A 16,888-nucleotide genomic window follows, 5' to 3' on the forward strand; every position below is an offset into this window, starting at 1 on the left:
CAGGTCTGGGCTCAATCCTTCTTCCTTCAACAGACCTTGGCCGACTTCCCCATCTCACGCAGCCCCACTGCTGCTCCTCCCTGCCCACACCCCTTCGCCACCCAACACTGACACGCACTTTTGTCTGCATTGGTGGCGTTTCTGCCTTGGCGTGTAGGTGAGCAGGGCAGGGTAAGCCTGCCACCCCCTCAACAGGACCTGGCAGGTAGAAGAGAAGCAAAGGAAGGTGTGAAGGAAGGAAAGAGGGAGGGAGGACGTGCGGAGATGTCTTCTCCGACCTCTGTGCTACACTGGGCAAGGGAGAGCCCAGCTTCCCCCGGAGGAGGTCAGCCATGAGCCACAGGTCTCCCCGGACTTAGCTGGGCAGGGCAGGGTTCTGCTCCTGTCAAACCGAGAATTTGGAGAAGCTCCTCGGCCCGGTGCTGCTCCACCTCCCCCTTTGTCTTTTCCTTTCCCCGAAACTTCCCAACCAACAGGCACTGGGGAGAGAATGATGAACGTGGTGCGGGAGCTGGGCGCCGGGTTGTGTACACAGCCTGTATCGGTTTGAACTAACGAAGTTTATTAACCAGGCAACCCAGAATCATTAATCACGCAGAAAAATAACACAGCGAAATGACTTTTCAAAATGCCATTGGTATAATTATCGTCTTGCCCATTACACTAAATGCCGCCATTTATATCTGTGATACTTAAGTATGCAAACAGTAATTAACGTGGTAATGAACCGGGGGCCCCAGAGCCTCCCCTCCCTGAGCTAATTTGCATGTTAATTATCATTAGCGACCAGGGAAACAAGTTATAAACAGCCTAATTAGCAGCCAGATCATTTTTACAAGAGATCGCGTGCACTTTGACACGTGAACCAGTGTGAGATTAATGAAGTCAGGCGAGGCCGCCCCTCCTGCGGGGTGGGGGTGGGGTGGCCTCAGTGCAGTGGCCTCGGTGGTCTCTGGGTGCTGTTAGCAGGTGATGGCTGGTGGCCTCAGGCTGCCCCTGAATGGTGGGGCTTGGGCTTCCCTCTCCACGCGGCTTGGGCTGGATGAGACCAGGAAAGTGGGGGCCCTGGTAAAGGGAAATTATCCTGACCCTTGGTAAGGAAGACTTCATTCAAGACTGTTGCGTAAGAGAGAGAGACAGGGTTCGACCCCGGATGCCAGGACAAGTGGGGGTTCACAGCCCAGGAGCAGGGTAGGGGCTTGGTGGATGGGAGATCACAAAGCGGGGACACCAGGGCAGAGAGATTCTTGCAAACCCACTTCATTGATTCTTGCTCAAGGTGGAGTGATCCCATATCCAGGGCGGGGATTGGCTCCAAACTGCCTTAGCCGGATTCTTGCCACAGATGGACCCCGCAGGCTGAAGCAGGGCCCAGGTGAGGCTGAGCTGAGAACAGCGCTCAGCAGCCCACCCGGACTTTCCCATCCCAAAGTCCAGGTCCTCTGCTTTTGTGCCTGGCCCCTCTCCTGCACCCTGAGCCTCTCGGCCAACCCCGGGCTTTGCTCCTTCCAAGAGACACCATTTAACCAACCAGACATGTGTGCCCCACCCTCCCCCACCTGCAGAACAGCCCTGTGGGGGTGAGAACCATCACCCTGTTTCAGCAAGCAGGAAGCCCAGGCACAGAGAGATGGGAACCTGCCCCAGGCCTGCAGTCCCAGCAGCTGGTGAGTCCCGGGCCCTGACGCCGCAGCCTCGCTGCTGCCCCTGGACACGCCGGGCAGGTCCTGCTCCAGGGCCTTTTCATCACAAAGAGCCCTGTGCACGCTGGCGTCCACCCTGACTGCGCCATTCAGCCTCCATCCCGTCCTCCTTTCCCATGGTATTTTTGCTCAGGCTCTTGCCTAGTGTCGGCGTGTTCCTGTCTGTCTCCCTGGCAAGAGTGCCGGCTTGCGGGGGCAGGACATGTCCCGTTGATCCCCCGCTCCCCAGTGCCTAGATCAGCCCGACGTGCAGCAGGCTTCCCAGCACTGTGGAGGGGGGCACGTCTGGCCATGAATCGCTCCAGAGTGGGGGCTGAAAATGTTTTTTGGAAAGGGTTCCAATCGCAAAGTTTACATTCCACTCAACCGTGGCAGCACAAAAGCAGCCGTGGACAGCATGCAGACACACAGGCCAGCCCTGCGCCCGCACCGTCCGATGTTGGCATCCTCAAACCAGATACCTGGCCGGCTACCTGCCGCCTCACACACCCACCACGCTCCATTTCAGACCCTCTGGGCCTTGCTGGCCTTCTCTTTGTTTGATGTGGGCTCTGAGTGATTTTGGACAGGCACCACCCAACACAGCAGGGCTGACTCTTGCCTCCTGCCCGGGTTCCTGAGGACGCAGCCACAGGGCCATGCCCAGAGCCTGCAGGGCAGTCAACACCCGGGGGCCTGGAGGAGTGGGGAGTGTGAGCGCCTCTCCTTTTCTGCTGCACAAGAGAGGCCCCGGGCGCAGGTTGCTGCATGGGGTCCCCCGGGCCAGGTGCGGGGGACACCTGGGGACTTGTCTTCCTCGGGGCCACCTCCTATGGCTTCCCTGTCCCATCAGTACCACTGCTCGGGGGACTGTTCTTCCTGTTAGGATAACGGCCCCAAGGCCCCCCCCACCCCCATTAGGCTGTGCTTTCTGGGGAGCCCAGGTCAAGGTGGTCTCGGAAAGCAGACCCTTAGGGTGGGATTTTGGAGCTGGGTCACTCACTGGCCTGAGGGCCACAGGGCCCTGGTGCTGGTGGGAAGGGGGGCGGTGAGGACCCTGCCAGGCAGCCTCATGGTGCCCTGGCCTCACTGGGCCACGGAGACAGGAGGAGCTCGGTGGGGACGCACGGTGGAAGGTCTGGGGCTGTGGAGGAGCTGGGGCTGCCGGCCTCGCAGGTGTGGTTGGGGTGGGTGGGGCTGCCGTGGGCCTGGCTCCATGGCTCTGTGCAGGTGGCAGCCGGCGCCGCGTGTCGCCACCCACACAGGAAAGGCGAGATTGGTGGCAGAGGCCGTGTCCGCGTCATCATGGGAGCTGCAGCTCTTCCCTTAGTTCCCTGCACCCACTTATTGAGGGGGGCTGGTCCTCCTGGGAAAGGACCTGGCAGCATCCCCGGGCGTGGGACACATGCCTCGCAGCAGAGTTGGGGGACACGGGGCTGTGCCCGCCCTCCCTGCACTAGAACCAGCAGCAGCAAACAGCCCCCAGCTCGGCCGCTGACCATGTCCTGCTCGGGTCTCCCGGGCTGGCCCTGGCCCGCTTAGCCTGGACTCAGGTGCCTGTGGCCGGCTGCTCGTGCCTTCCCATCCTGGGGCAACCCGGGGAGTGGCAGTGCAGCCTCGGCTGAGACGGCCGCCATCCCTGCCCTCAGGTCTCCTATGGGGAAGCAGAAACATGCCCGATGGCTCTGGGGGTGGGCAAGCACCAGCAACTGGCACAGGCCACTCCTGGCACAGGGGGAGGTGGCCTTATCAAGGGTGAGGACACAAACCCAGAGAAGGGAGGGGACATGGGGCAAAGCCACCTGCCCTGCGCCTCAAGGGACCTGTGGCCTTGGCCTGGGAAGTGCCACATGGGAAGGAGGTGTGGGCCTGCTGAGCACGGTCATGTGTGGGCCTGGCCCAAGGCTCCGCCAGCAGGTAGGGTGGGGTGGTTCTCGCCCTCTTGGGCCTAGGGCCTCACCCTGGGATGCCTCGAGTGATGTATCTGCCCGGCCCCATGGCAGGCGAGTCCGATTCCTTGGATCCGGCCTGGATCTGCCTGAGCGAGAGCCTCCTGGGAGTCCAGAGCAGCAAGTGGAGAACTCGCTCTGAGAAGCGCGTGGACTCCCTGGCGAGGCCGTGGCCCCAGCTGAACCTATGGCCTGGGTTCCACCACCCTCACCTCCCACTGCTCCTTGGTCACAGTGGGCCCAGCAGGCCACAGCACGGCATTACGGGACGTACTGCCTCCTTCCTGGCACCAGCCTCTGCCTGGTCAGTTTCCTTTTCTAGAACCTTCTTCCTGGTTCCCTGGACTCTGCTTAGACATTTGGCCCTCCCAGGACCCCCTGAGCCCTCCTGAGCCCTGGCCCCTGCTCCATGTGCCCCTCGGTCCGGCAGCCTGCAGCCCCCGCCCTCCCCTAGCCGTGCCCATGCAGTCCCAGGCCTGAGACTGGCTGCGGGGGGGGGGGGGGGTACACGTGCTCCTGGACTGAACGCTGCTACCGTAACTTCATCAGCACCCTCCAGGCGAGGACCACGTGTCCAGCCCCTGCTGTGCACACGACTGAGGGTTGTCGGTTCCCCGAGCTCAGCTGAACTCCCTCCTGCCAGCTAGCCGTCCCCATCGCCCGGACTGGGGAACAGTCCTCCTGGGGATGCCGCACTCCTCTCCATCATTCTCGGTGCCCCTGCTAGCTCAGCCAGCCTTCTTGTGGTGAGGACAGCGGCGGGACTGGGGCCCCCAAAGGCCTCTCAGCCTGGGACGAGCTACAGGCATTGCTAGGTGTGAATGTCAGAGCCACCCTCCCCAGCACCAGGGTCACCCTCTCCCTGTGCCCCTGTGCAGGGCCTGGGGACCTGCCCCTTGTTCCCTCACACCAGGGACTGCTGGGGACTGGATGGGGTCTGCACAATTCCTGGAGGTGCCATTGTGGTGGGAGACCCTGGGGGAGACAGTGGCTGCACAGCAGTACGTTTAGCACAGAGCACATTTGCTGACCACTTCCTTGGTCTTGGGCCCTGGACTCAGCACCGCACAGGCCCTTCCTGTTCCTCCCAGCAACCCCGTGGGGCTCGACTGGACATAAGGGCCTGGCTCACGCTCTGGGAGGAGGCAGAGCAAGCCTCTCCCTGTGAGGAAATCACGGGGACTCAGGGATGCTGTCCAGACATCTGGACCCTCAGCTCCCTCTTTCCTCCCACTCATGGGATTCCCTGGGGCCCGGGTCAGGATACCAGGCTGCCACCTCTGGGCAGCCACCTCCAGGCAGCCCTCCCGGACTGCCCAGGCCCTAGCTCCGAATCTGTAGCACCTCAGTCTTCTTCTCTCCGTTGAACATTTCACCCTCTCCTACTGCAGGGCAGAGTGACCCCTGTCCTGTGAGGATGTGGCCTTGAATGGCCCAATGGGCCAGGAATTCCTCGGGGACAAGAGCTGCATTCTCCCTGCCTCCCCAGCACCCAGCCCAGTGGGCCCTGCAGGGCACAATGACCTGGTTTGTTGGTTCCAGGCAGGCAGGGTGGCAGTGGGCCCCAGGGGTCACAGGCCAGTGGGGAAACAGCCATGGGGGCAGCTCTGGCTGAGCGTCACTGGCCCTCCTGGGGGATTAAGGTCCTTGTCACAGGGGCCTCCAGGCCAGCCCCAGCAGCTAGCACATGGCCGGCTCCAGCTCTAAGGCCTGTGTCTGAGCCAGGGAAGAGAGAGGAGGAGCCCCCTGAGAGCGGCACAGGGGATCCCCAGGGGCTGAAGCCATAGTGGGGTGTGAGGTCTGTAGTGGGGTGTGAGGTGTGTGGGGGGCCATCCACAGAGGGGGCTGTGTGGTGGCAGTTTCAGGCTCAGGCTGAAATAGGAACTGAGAGGAGACAGGTTTGGCTGTGTGGCTGCTGAAGGCAGCCCGGCCGGCAGCGCCTTGGGGACAGGGAGGAGCTACGGTCTCCTGCGATTGTCTTCTGGGCCTGGGGGCTTGACTGGCTCTGAGGCACTGAAGAAGCTGTCATCCATGGGGAGGGCCGGCCCATTTGCTGTGCCTGAATGACCTTCTGATCTGAGGCTTGTGCAGGCGCCTGCCTGGGCAGCTTTTATTGTTGATGACCACGTTATCTTCCTAATTATTAGATGTGGGGAGACCTCCGGGGAAGTTCTTCATGGTAGAAGGGAAAACCCCCTTCTTGGCTGTCAGGAGAGAATCCCACAGTGTAAAGTTCTAGGAAGTGAAGTGAGAAAAATACTTTAGGTTTCAGTTGGAAAAAAAAAACAAAACAAAAATGGCTTTTTTGATTATTTAAAAATAGTTTAAAGATATTTAAAAATAATGGCCAGGCACAGTGGCTCACACCTGTAATCTCAGCACTTTGGGAGGCCGAGGCAGGAGGATAGCTTGAGGAGGCCAGCCTGGGCAACATAGGGAGCCTCCATCTCTACAAAGAAAAGAAAACCCACCTGTCGCCCCCAGCCTTGGTGCCCATGTGTGCCCAGGGTGTGTGGATAGCAAGTATCTGCCAGCTGCTGCTGCTATGACAAACATCTCCACTTCTCAGTGGTTCCCAGCTGCTCACAGGGCGGCTGCTGCCTGCGGCTCTGCTGGCTCAGCTCCGTGCAGCTGATTTGGCCCCAGTGGCCTTTGCATTCCAGGCCCCAGGCTGCAGGAGAATCTGTCTGGGCTGTGATAATGTTCGAACGGAGGTGTGGGAGGCAGCATCATGGCTCCTCCAAAATGTCCACACCCTTGTCCCTGGAAGCTGTGGACATGTGACCTCCTGTGGCTCAAGGGGCTTTGCAGGGTGAGTAGAGATGTTGAGATGGAGAGGGCCCTGGCACCTGAATATTCACAAGGGGTGGCAGGAGGGTCGGAGCCAAAGAGCAGCGTGACAGTGAAGGTGGAGGCTAGGGTCAGCTGTGCTGCCAACTGCGATGGTGGAGGAAGGGGCCATGAGTCAGGGATGCCACAGCCTCTAGAAGCTGAGAAGGTGTGAAATGGATTCTTCTGTGGAGCCCCTAGGAGGAAGGCAGCCCTGCTCACACCTTGATTTTAGCCCAGTGGGACCCATTGGAGGCATCTGACCTCCAGAACGGTAGTAAATTTCTGTTGTTTTTGTTGCAGCTTTGATAGGAAACTAACAGAAAGGGGAAGGAGCAAGAGGGGTTCGGCCAACCCCTGCAAGTGCATTTTCCGTGGATCTGACAGGGCCGCACCTCACCTGTGCCCACGTTCTATGAGTCAAGATGTGTCACGTGGCCAGGCACAAAGCCAGTGGCACCAGGAACACACCCTCCTCCAGGGAGGTGACAGGAGAACTGGGGATGGTGAGAGGTGACAGCATGCTGGCAGTCCTCGCTCACTCTTGGCGCCTCCTCGGCCTCGGCGGCCACTCTGGCCATGCTTGACGAGCCCTTCAGCCTGCTGCTGCACTGTGGGAGCCCCTCTCTGGGCTGGCCGAGGCCAGAGCCGGCTCCCTCTTGCAGGGAGGTGTGGAGGGAGAGGCACAGGCAGGAACCGGGGCTGCACGTGGTGCTCACGCGCCAGCGTGAGCTCCGGGTGGGTGCAGGCTCGGTGGGCCCCACACTTGGAGTGGCCGGCCGGCGCTGCCAGCCCCGGGCAGTGAGGGGCTTAGCACCTGGGCCAGCAGCTGCGGAGGAGGGTACACCAGGTACCCCAGCACTGCCGGCCCACCTCCGCCATGCTTGAATTCTCACCAGGCCTCAGCCGCCTCCCCATGGGGCAGGGCTTGGGACCTGCAGCCTGCCATGCCTGAGCCCCCCTCCCACTGTGGGCTCCCGTGGGGCCCAGCCTCCCTGACAGGTGCCGCCCTCTGCTCCGAGGCGCCCAGTCCCATCGACCGCCCAAGGGCTGAGGGGTGTGGGTGTGGTGCAGGACTGGTGGGCTGCCCTCCCGGGCCCAGAGGGGGATCCACTAGGTGAAGCCAGCTGGGCTCCTGAGTCGGGTGGGGAGTTGGAGAACTTTTACATCTAGCTAGAGGATTGTAAATACACCAATCAGCACTCTGTGTCTAGCTAAATGTTTGTAAATGCACCAAACAGTGCTCTGTGTCTAGCTAATCTCGTGGGGACTTGGAGAACTTTTATATCTAGCTGGAAGATTGTAAATGCACCAATCAGCACTCTGTGTCTAGCTCAAGGTTTGTAAATGCACCAATCAGCACCCTGTCAAAACGGACCAATCAGCTCTCTGTAAAATGGACCAATCAGCAGGATGTGGGTGGGGTCAGATAAGGGAATAAAAGCAGGCTGCACGAGCTAGCAGGGGCAACCCGCTGGGGTCGTCTTCCATGCGGTAGAAGCTTTGTTCTTTTGCTGTTTGCAATAAATCTTGTTGCTGGTCACTGTTTGGGTCCGCACTGCCTTTGTGAGCTGTAACGCTCACCACGAAGGTCTGCGGGTTCACTGCTGAGGCCAGTGAGAGCCCGAGCCCACCAGGAGGAATGAACAACTCCGGATGGGAGAAACGAACAACTCCAGATCCGCCGACTTAAGAGCTGCAACACTCACCGCCAAGCTATGCAGCTTGACTCCTGAAGCCAGCGAGACCACGAACCCATCAGAAGAAAAACTGTGAACACACCCGAGGAATAAACTCCGGACACACCATCTTTAAGAATTGTAACACTCACCACGAGGGTCCACGGCTTCATTCTTGAGGTTAGTGAGACCAAGAACCTACCAATTCTGGACATAATGGTGGGAAAGTGAAACCACCTGCCCCAGTAGTGGGTCACAAATGTCTCCTTCACTGATGCATGCAAAACATGCAACCCCCGAAAGCCTCAGCCGGTCCTGGCTTCGAGCACGGCACCCAGCATCTGGTGATGACCATCGTGGCTCACGTGGCTCCTCTTAACCTGGAGCCTTGGGCACTAAGACGAGTGACCAGCCCTGCTGGGCCCCACACAGCACCGAGCCGGGGACAGGCTTGTCTCGGTAAATGCGCCCAACTAGAAGGGGAATCAGGGGACCCACAGCAGTTACCGGTCCCTGGGGACTCTAAAATGCCCCGGGACTGGCTGCAGCGTCAGCCTGGGCTGCGGTAGGAATGCCGGTTCTTCGCCCTGGGAGGGGCCCCAGACACTGGGCTGTCCTTCTTTTCCTGCATCTTCCTGGGCCGCATCTGCAGAGCCTTGGGGAACGCCTCTGAGGGGCTCGGCTGGCTCCCTGCCCATGGGAAGCTGGGGCCAAGGGCTGCGTCTCACCTTGAGTGGTCGTCGTCTGTGTTAAGCTGGGCTGGATGTCCTCTGGTCGGTATGATTTTCTGGAAATCTTTTTAGAATTAAGATATTCGGTTCCATCCAGCTCCATCCAGGATCTAAAATGTTTAAAGGAATTTAGCTATTCCCCCATTAAAAATGATTTAATTTAATAATTTTTTATTTTTTGGGATAGGGTCTTAACTCTGTCGCCCAGGGTGATGTGCCAAGTGGTGCGATCTCGGCTCCCTGCAATCTGCCTCCTGTGCTCAAGTGATCCTCCCACCTCAGCCTCCCAAGTAGCTGAGACCACAGGCACACACCACCACACCTGGCTAATTCTTGTCTTTTTTGTGGAGATGGGGTTTCACCATGTTGCCCAGGCTGATCTCAAACTCCTGGGCTCAAGCAATCCGCCTGCCTTGGCCTCCCAAAGTGCTGGGATCACAGGCGTGAGCCACTGCACCTAGCCTGCAAATGATGATTGTAATTTTAAAACTAAAAAAAAGAATAGTAAGATTTCTGTTTGCAACTCAGGAGCTCAGGAAGAACTGGGTTTTTAACTTTTTAAGACCCCTGTGGGGTGGCAGCCGGGGCTTGGGGGCAGGGAGCAGGAGGGCCAGGCTGGGCGAGGACCCCGGCGGAAGGAGGCAGGCGTCTCCACCTGGGGCCAGGTTGCTTCCTGGCTCCCTGGCCTGAAGGGCGAGGCTGGCCTCTCCCTGGCCCTCCCGTCTGGAGCTGCAGCCTGTACCCAGAGGTCTTCTGGGAACGCACCTAATCACACAACTCCGTCCCTGTAGTCCTGGCCGCAGCCTCAGCACAGCCAGCACCCCATGCTGGGCAGGAGGACGAGGACCCCAGGGTCTGGATCAGGCAGTGCCGACCTGGGATTTGTTCGCATTCTTGAGTGTTGCCCAGGCTTTGGCAGCGGTGGCTGTAGAGCCGAACATGGTTCTGTTCTTCTGCTGTTTATTCTCATGATATTGAAAAAGCATATTATTTTTAAAGTATTTGAATCTCATTTAAAAAATCAAACTAAACATTTACTATGTTTGAGATGTAAAAGTTCTTAAGTGTATTACAACATCAAGCAAAATATATGTTTATAAAACTATAGACATCAAACGTTTACTATTATTTTAAAAGAAGGTTTTAGCAGATAAATGAATTAAAGCAAAGTATGTTATAAAAAATCAAACATCATGTAATAAAAGAAAAGCTGGAGAGGCTGGATGTGGTGGCTCATACCTGTAATCCCAGCACTGTGGGAGGTCGAGGCGGGCAGATTGCTTGAGCTCAGGAGTTCAAGACCAGCCTGGGCAATATGGAGAAACCTTGTCTTTACAAAAAATATAAAAATTATTTGGGAGTGGTGGCAAGCACTTGTAGTCCCAGCTAATCAGTAGGCTAATATGGAGGATTGCTTGAGCCCGAGAGGAGGTCAAGGCTGCAGTGAGCCATGATAATGCCCCTGCCCGCCAGCCTTGGTGGTAGATATGGGTCGTTGATCACTGCTTAACAAATCACCCCAACAGTCAGTGGCTTGGAACAATCCATATCAATCATTGTTCTTGTGTTTTTGGTCAGCAGAGGATGGGGTAGGGTGATCCTCCAGGTCCAGGCTAGCGTTTTCCATGGTTGAGGGCTGGGCGGGCTGTGGGCTGAGGCGCCTCAAGTCTCCTCTGTGTGGCCTCTCATCCTCCAACAACTAGCTTGAGCTTGTCCCGACGGCAGAAGCAGGTTTTTTTGGGGGTGGGGAAGAGATGGATTGAGGAAGCCCCAGGGCCACTGTGAACTTGTCTGCTGCCACATTCACGTATCCCAGTGGTCGGCCCGGATTCAAAGCAGGTGGGGTCAGTCTGCATCTCCTGTGGGAAAAGTAGCCACCTTACCTTGCCAACGATGCCACGACGGGAAGGATGGAGAGTCAGCCGCTGCACGGTGCCGCTGCTCCTTGGACTCTGAGACATTCTTTTAACCCTTTTCCCATTTGCCCTGAGAATACTCACCAGCAGTGCCCACGGCTGCGGCATTTACTGAGATAGCTTTGCCACAAAATATCTCACTTTTATTATTATTTTCCCATCGCTCTGGAATATCGACTTTGGAAACAAAAGCCATCATTCTATTATTTTGTTTTTAGTCATGGTATTTCCATTTACAAATATAGTAACTTTCGATCGCTGCAAAAAACCATGCCATTCCTGTGCGTGATGGTGACATTGTTCTCAAACACTTGTTGGCCGAAGATTCGTTTGATGAATCCGATTTTTCCGAAATAGACGATTCTGATAATTCAGACGATTCTGATGTCAGTTCTGTTTAGAAATAACTCCAAGAACAGTTTTTATATTTTATTTCCATGTTGAAAATCAGTCAGATTTGTTTCAGCCTCAAAGAGCGTATTGATGTAAAATTAAATGAATGCTGCTAGCAAGCTGCACTTTCTTTTTTCTGAACAGGAAAATTAAATCTTCTTTAAGGTCCTGCTCTTTTCCTCTTGACAGCAAGCTACCACTGTTTAGAGAGAGTCTCCTGTTGTCTTCGTCCTGAGGCTTCTTCCATCTGCACGGAGGTTCCGAAGCGTTTATGACATATCAATCCCTCTACCATCAGGCACACATTTCACTGTTTTGGGAGAAGGCCTTTGGACTGAAGCTGGAATCACTGCTGCTCCGTGGGTGCTTGTCATGGCTCCTGTGGATGGGAACCCGCTAGGCTTCTAGGCTCTGCATGGGTTTGTCTTTTTGAATAAATTGAGCAATTGAATTATTGATCCTGGCCTCATGATATAAAGGATTGGATTTTGATTTCTTAAAAATTCTGAAGTCACGGCAGTATACCAGTAAACGCTCTAGGACCTTGGTTCTTACAGGTGGCATGGTATCGTGGGACGCCGGGACACAGGAGTCCTTGGAAGTGGGCTGCGGCCTCTGTTTAGTCTGCTGGTCAGCAGGAGCCCCTGTTCTGAGGGTGCTGCTCCCCTGCCAAGCCCTTCCCATGCTTCCCTATAGCACCAGGACAAGGCCCACAGAGCCCATGGAGGCCTCGCCGTCTGGCTGGACTATCTGGCTGGTCTTGACTTTCCCACGGAGGCCTGGCCATCTGGCTGGTCTTGACCTTGACTCCATGATACTGGTGTGTGCTGAATCATCTTAGTGTTTTTTTTTTTTTTTCTCCAGCTCAAACACACGCACCTCTTTGTCCTTCCTTGGCTGGTGAGAGGTTCATTGTCCATCTTTTCTCGGCTCCCCATCCCCACAGTGTTGTAGAAGCCTCCAGGCCCTCCAGGGCTCAGGGCTGGCTGGGGGCCCCAGGGTGAGGCCCACACTCTTCCTACCCCTGCTCTCACTGGGCCAGGAGTGTCAGCTGGGGGCCCCACTGCTTCAGGTCTTGGTGGGCACCACTCACAACCAACCACTATGGGAACCAGGTGCACCCCAGGCTCTCCCTGCTGCCTGCCCTGCAGGGGCTGCAGGGGCAAGTAGACACTGCCATGCTGGCCCTCTCCTCCCCCTGGGTCTTGGGCCTTCCCTGGGCTCTGGATTCAAGTACTCCCTTCATGTTCTCCTCTCCAGGAAGCCCCAAGCTTTCTTAAGGCACCAGAAACACAACAGCCCTCTCTGCATGTGTGCATATGTGCATGTCTGTGTGCCTGTGTCTGCATGTGAGTGTGCCTGCATGCATACATGTGTGTATATGCCATGCTCATGAGTCTGTGCGTGTGTGCCTGCGCATAGAGGTGCATCTGTGCATGTGCCCAGGTGTGAGTGCAGATACATAGGCGTGTATATGGCCATGTGAATGTGTGCAAAAGTGCAATGCACACATGTACTTATGAACATATGCGTGTGTGCCTATACATGTGCATACGTGCCTCAGGTGCATGCCATCCATGTGAGTGCGCATGTGTGCGCATGTGTGTACCCCAGGCCATTAGTGAAACCTGACACCTGGACAGCGCCATTCCTAGGCAGGTGCTCCCACAGTCCTATCCTGCCGTGTCTCTGATCTCAAGGCACCCTCCAAGGGTGGCTGTATTTCCCCATTTGGACAGATTTATTGGAAAGCTAATTTCAGGGTCCTCATTTGCATGGGCCTCTTCCAGGCACTGTGCGTAATTTTATATCCTTTCTCTTAAAGTGGGCTCCCAAATTGAAAAGCTTCACGCCTACAAGACCTCGGTCTGCCCTATTCTCATTTTAAAATGGAGGAGACGGAGGCACAGAGAAGTCCAAGAATTTGTGCAGGGTCATGTGACCAGTGCCTATGTTCAGTGATCCAATCATTGCAGCCCCTCTCCCTACACACACCTGAACACACACACCTACATGCACACATCACACTGGCGCACACACACCTGCATGGACACATGCACACCCACACACATCTGCACACCCTGTATGCACACACCTGGAAGCTACACACACTTGTATGCACACATTTGCACACCCCACACAGGTGCACACACTTACCTGCACAAACCCACCTGCATGCACATGAACACCCAACACACCTGCACACACACCTGTATGCACCCACATGCACACCCCCACACAACTGCACACACGCCTGCACACCCACACACCTGTGTGCACACACATGAATGCACACACCACACACCTGCACACACATGAACAGCCACACTGCACGCACATGTACACACACACCTGCACACACACCTGTATGCACACACATGCACACCCCCACGCACCTGCACACACACACACACCTATATGAACACACATGAACAGCCACACCTGCTGGCACACACATGCACACACACATACGTCTGCACACACACACCTGCATGCACACCCCTACACCTGCCGTCATACACACCAGCACACCTGGTGGGCACCCTTGTCTGGCTCTGCCACACAGCTGTCTTTTCTGGGGATGCCCTGTGAACCCCAGGATAGATGCGGCCTCTTCCTTTCTGTTCCAGAAGGAGCAGCTCTTTCCCTCCTCCTGAGTCTGACCTTGCCATGTCCTGACCTTGGGACTCAGCTCCCCTGCCCCGCCCAACCACATCTCTTCCCTGGGTGCAGCGCCCAAGCGTGTGCCTATGGGGCTCTGGAGTCAGCGCATCTGCGTCCACGACTGACTCCACTACTTCCCCGTCCCTTTGCTGCCCCGTGACCGATTCTCCATGTTTGAAAGTGGAGGCATCAAGATCTCCCTCCCAGGAGGACGAGAGTGAGTGAGTGAAGCGAGAAAACCATCTGCAACTGCTCAGCCCGAATTGCCGCTCAGCCCGAATTACCGCTCAGGCCGAATTACCGCTCAGCCCGAATTACCGCTCAGGCCGAATTACCGCTCAGCCCGAATTACCGCTCAGGCCGAATTGCCGCTCAGCCCCAATTACTGCTCAGCCCCAATTACTGCTCAGCCCTCATGATCCTTGACCTGCACTGGCTCCAGGACCTGCCTTCACTTCAGGGGCCTCGGTTTCTCCCCATGGCAGTGACCCCAAGTCAGCGGAGAGGCCCAAAGAGTCACTCACAGAGGCTGCCCTAGGAGTCCTAGGTGTGCAGTGTGGGCCTGGCCCAGCGCCCTCCATGCTCCTACCACTGTGCATGTGGGTCCCAGGCCAGGGGGCCAGGGGTCCAGGGGTCGGGGGTCCAGGGTCAGGGTCTTGGGGTACCACGGGCTGAGGGGCTGGAGGCCAGGGGTTCAGGGGACCAGGGGGCCAGGGGGCCAGGGGGCCAGGGTCAGTGTCTTGGGGGATAAGAGACTGAGGGGCTGGAGGCCAGAGAGCCAGCAGATGGGGGGTCCAGGGCATTGGGGATCTGGAGGCAGGGGGCCAAAGTGCTGGACCAGGAGGACTGTGCGGTAGTGGCCCCGCATTCTTAGCAGCCAGGTCTCTGGTGAGGGGTGGAGGTGAGCACAGCCTTGGGTCTGAGTCCTGCCCGTGTTCTGGCCAGCGTCCAGCTGCATGGATGTTCCAGGAGTGATGGTTCAGGGGACAGAAATGGCCCAGCTGTTGCCGTCAGGACAGATAAATAGTTGACCCTGATGTTTTTCCCACCAAGACCAACAGGCCCCTGTCTCTGGAGCCAGGAGCCGCTCAGCTACATCGGCTGGCAAGTTTTGCCGGCTGCCTGCTGAACCCTGGCATCTTGAAGGGGCTATGGCTGGGGGCGGCACCAGGGTGGGACACAGAAGTCAGAACCTCCGAGCCAGGCTTGGCATTCAGCTCTAGAGAACAGCACAGCCAGGTCTCAGGGGGCCAAGGAGGGTCCCAGGGCCAGTGCCAGGCCTCTGTGGCTTCTGGGGAACAGTGGGCTGGGAAAAAGAGTCTGTGAGCTTGGGGGTGGCTGCTGGACACTGGTGGAGTCAGGCCTTGCCTGCAGTTCCGCCTGACTCTGCAGAGCCCTGCAGCCGCGTGTGCTCAGATGCAGCACCCAGGGAAGGGTTCATGGGTGGATGGGCCTGGGGGGAACCAGTTTCTAGGGGATGGCCCAGCAACGCGCAAAAGGGAGACCCCTGAAGCCGGCCGGCCTGTTCCGGGCACGGCTGCAGCCGGTCCTCGCACTCACCTCCCTTGCAGACAGACCCACTGAAATCCCCAGCCCACCTGGGAGCTGCTTTGGGGAAGAGGTCTTATGGGGTCTAAGGGCGGTCCCAGCCCCACCAGCTGAGGCCCTGCTCAGCCCTCTACTTCCCCTGCACCAGACACCCCCTTCTGGGCCTCCCTCCAGAGCGTCCCTGCCTGAGGCAGCCCCCGGATCACTGCCCTGTGGGAGGATGAGCTCTTGATAGGGGCCGGCCAGGACATGGGGCCTGGGGCTCCAGGCCTCAGTTTCTCCATCTGGGCAAGGGGGTGGGGAGGGCACTGATGCTCATGTGGCTCCCTCTGTCCAGGGTGAGATGTCCCCTCTGGAGAGAGGTGCTTTCACTCAAGGTGGGCACGTGGGGGCCGAGCAGCTCCACCTCCAGATGGCTGTCTCTCGGCTGTGCCTCAGTTTTCTCCTCAATGCAACGAGGCTAGCGATGCCTCGGCCGAGGCTGTGGAGGGAGGGACTGGGGATCCCTCCAGAGTTCACGGCGACTGCTCCTGAGTCCTGGCCCTGCCCCTCTTGGCAGGCGCCCTGGAGGGCCCAGAGTGTGCACTGGGGCGGGGCGGGTGGCTGCTCCACCTCCTCCCGCGGTCACTGCTCGTGGACACCAGCAGAGGGCGGCCACGCACCACGCACAGCTGGGCTGTCCACGCCGGAGCCCCCCTCCAGGTGCGAGTCAAGGGGAGGCTGGGGAGGGGCTCAGGCCGCAGGAAGACCACTGCGCAGGGCAGGGGAGGGGCCTCAGACCTGGACCTGGGGTGGGAAGGGTGCAGTGGGGACCCTGGCCGGTGCCCTTGGAGCTGGGCCTGCACTGAGCATCCTCACGGCCCACATACCGGGCTTGGGCTTGGGGGGTGCTCGAAAGCACGGCCACCCAGGGCTTCTCCAGGGCGTGAGGAAACAGGGCAGGTGGGCAGGAGGTGCTTGGGCGGCAGGGCCTGCGGCCACAGGGGTTGTGGTCTGGAGTCCAAGTGCAGCCCCCATCCAGCTTCCAACCATGGTTGGGCCGCAGAGGGCAGAGGGGTCCTGCTGTTACTCCTGCAGAAGTTTCCACCAGCTCCTTCTGACTGGATCTTCCCCTCCACCTGTCCTCACAGGGGTCTCTGCTCCACTGGACAAGCATTGAAACATGTCTGGGGGAGGGGCTGGCCTCCTGCTCACGAGACCCACACAACATGGTGGGTGCAGCCCATTCTCCTGTCTGGGGTCTAGAGTGGACAGAGGCTGGGAGGTGGTTGCAGGACAGGAAGGGGGTGCGTGGCAGCTGTGCCGTGAGCAGGTTGTGCTCTCCAGACAGGAGGGCCCTTGCAAGTGGCGAGTTCTCAGGGGTTCGGGGACCTTGGTGCCGGACGAGGACCACTCCTGAAAGAGAGTTTGTCTCAGGCCTGGGGGAAATGAGAGCGCAGCCCCATCCCCACGTTAGGCCAGGACTGAGGCAAGCTGTCCTTCAAGCTGACGAGGTCA

At 57.9% G+C, this 16,888-nt stretch overlaps 2 long non-coding RNA genes across 3 annotated transcripts; one reads left to right on the plus strand and one right to left on the minus strand.

Annotated features, from left to right (window-relative positions):
- The first annotated feature begins 7,925 nt into the window (after nucleotides 1–7,925).
- On the plus strand, nucleotides 7,926–11,635 carry LOC124903825 (uncharacterized). Of its 2 annotated transcripts, none has more exons than XR_007065387.1 (2): nucleotides 7,926–8,319; nucleotides 11,345–11,635. It is a non-coding gene; the product is annotated as an uncharacterized LOC124903825 (long non-coding RNA). The 2 variants fall into 2 exon arrangements; XR_007065386.1 differs by having other exon boundaries at nucleotides 11,369–11,635.
- LOC124903826 (uncharacterized) lies at nucleotides 8,253–10,674 on the minus strand. The gene is made up of 3 exons (XR_007065392.1): nucleotides 10,110–10,674; nucleotides 9,636–9,835; nucleotides 8,253–8,980 (listed from the first exon to the last, which is right to left on the minus strand). It is a non-coding gene; the product is annotated as an uncharacterized LOC124903826 (long non-coding RNA).
- Nucleotides 11,636–16,888: the final 5,253 nt, after the last annotated feature.

Source organism: Homo sapiens, chromosome 1 (assembly GCF_000001405.40).
Source record: "Homo sapiens chromosome 1, GRCh38.p14 Primary Assembly".
Taxonomy (NCBI): Eukaryota; Metazoa; Chordata; class Mammalia; order Primates; family Hominidae; genus Homo; species Homo sapiens.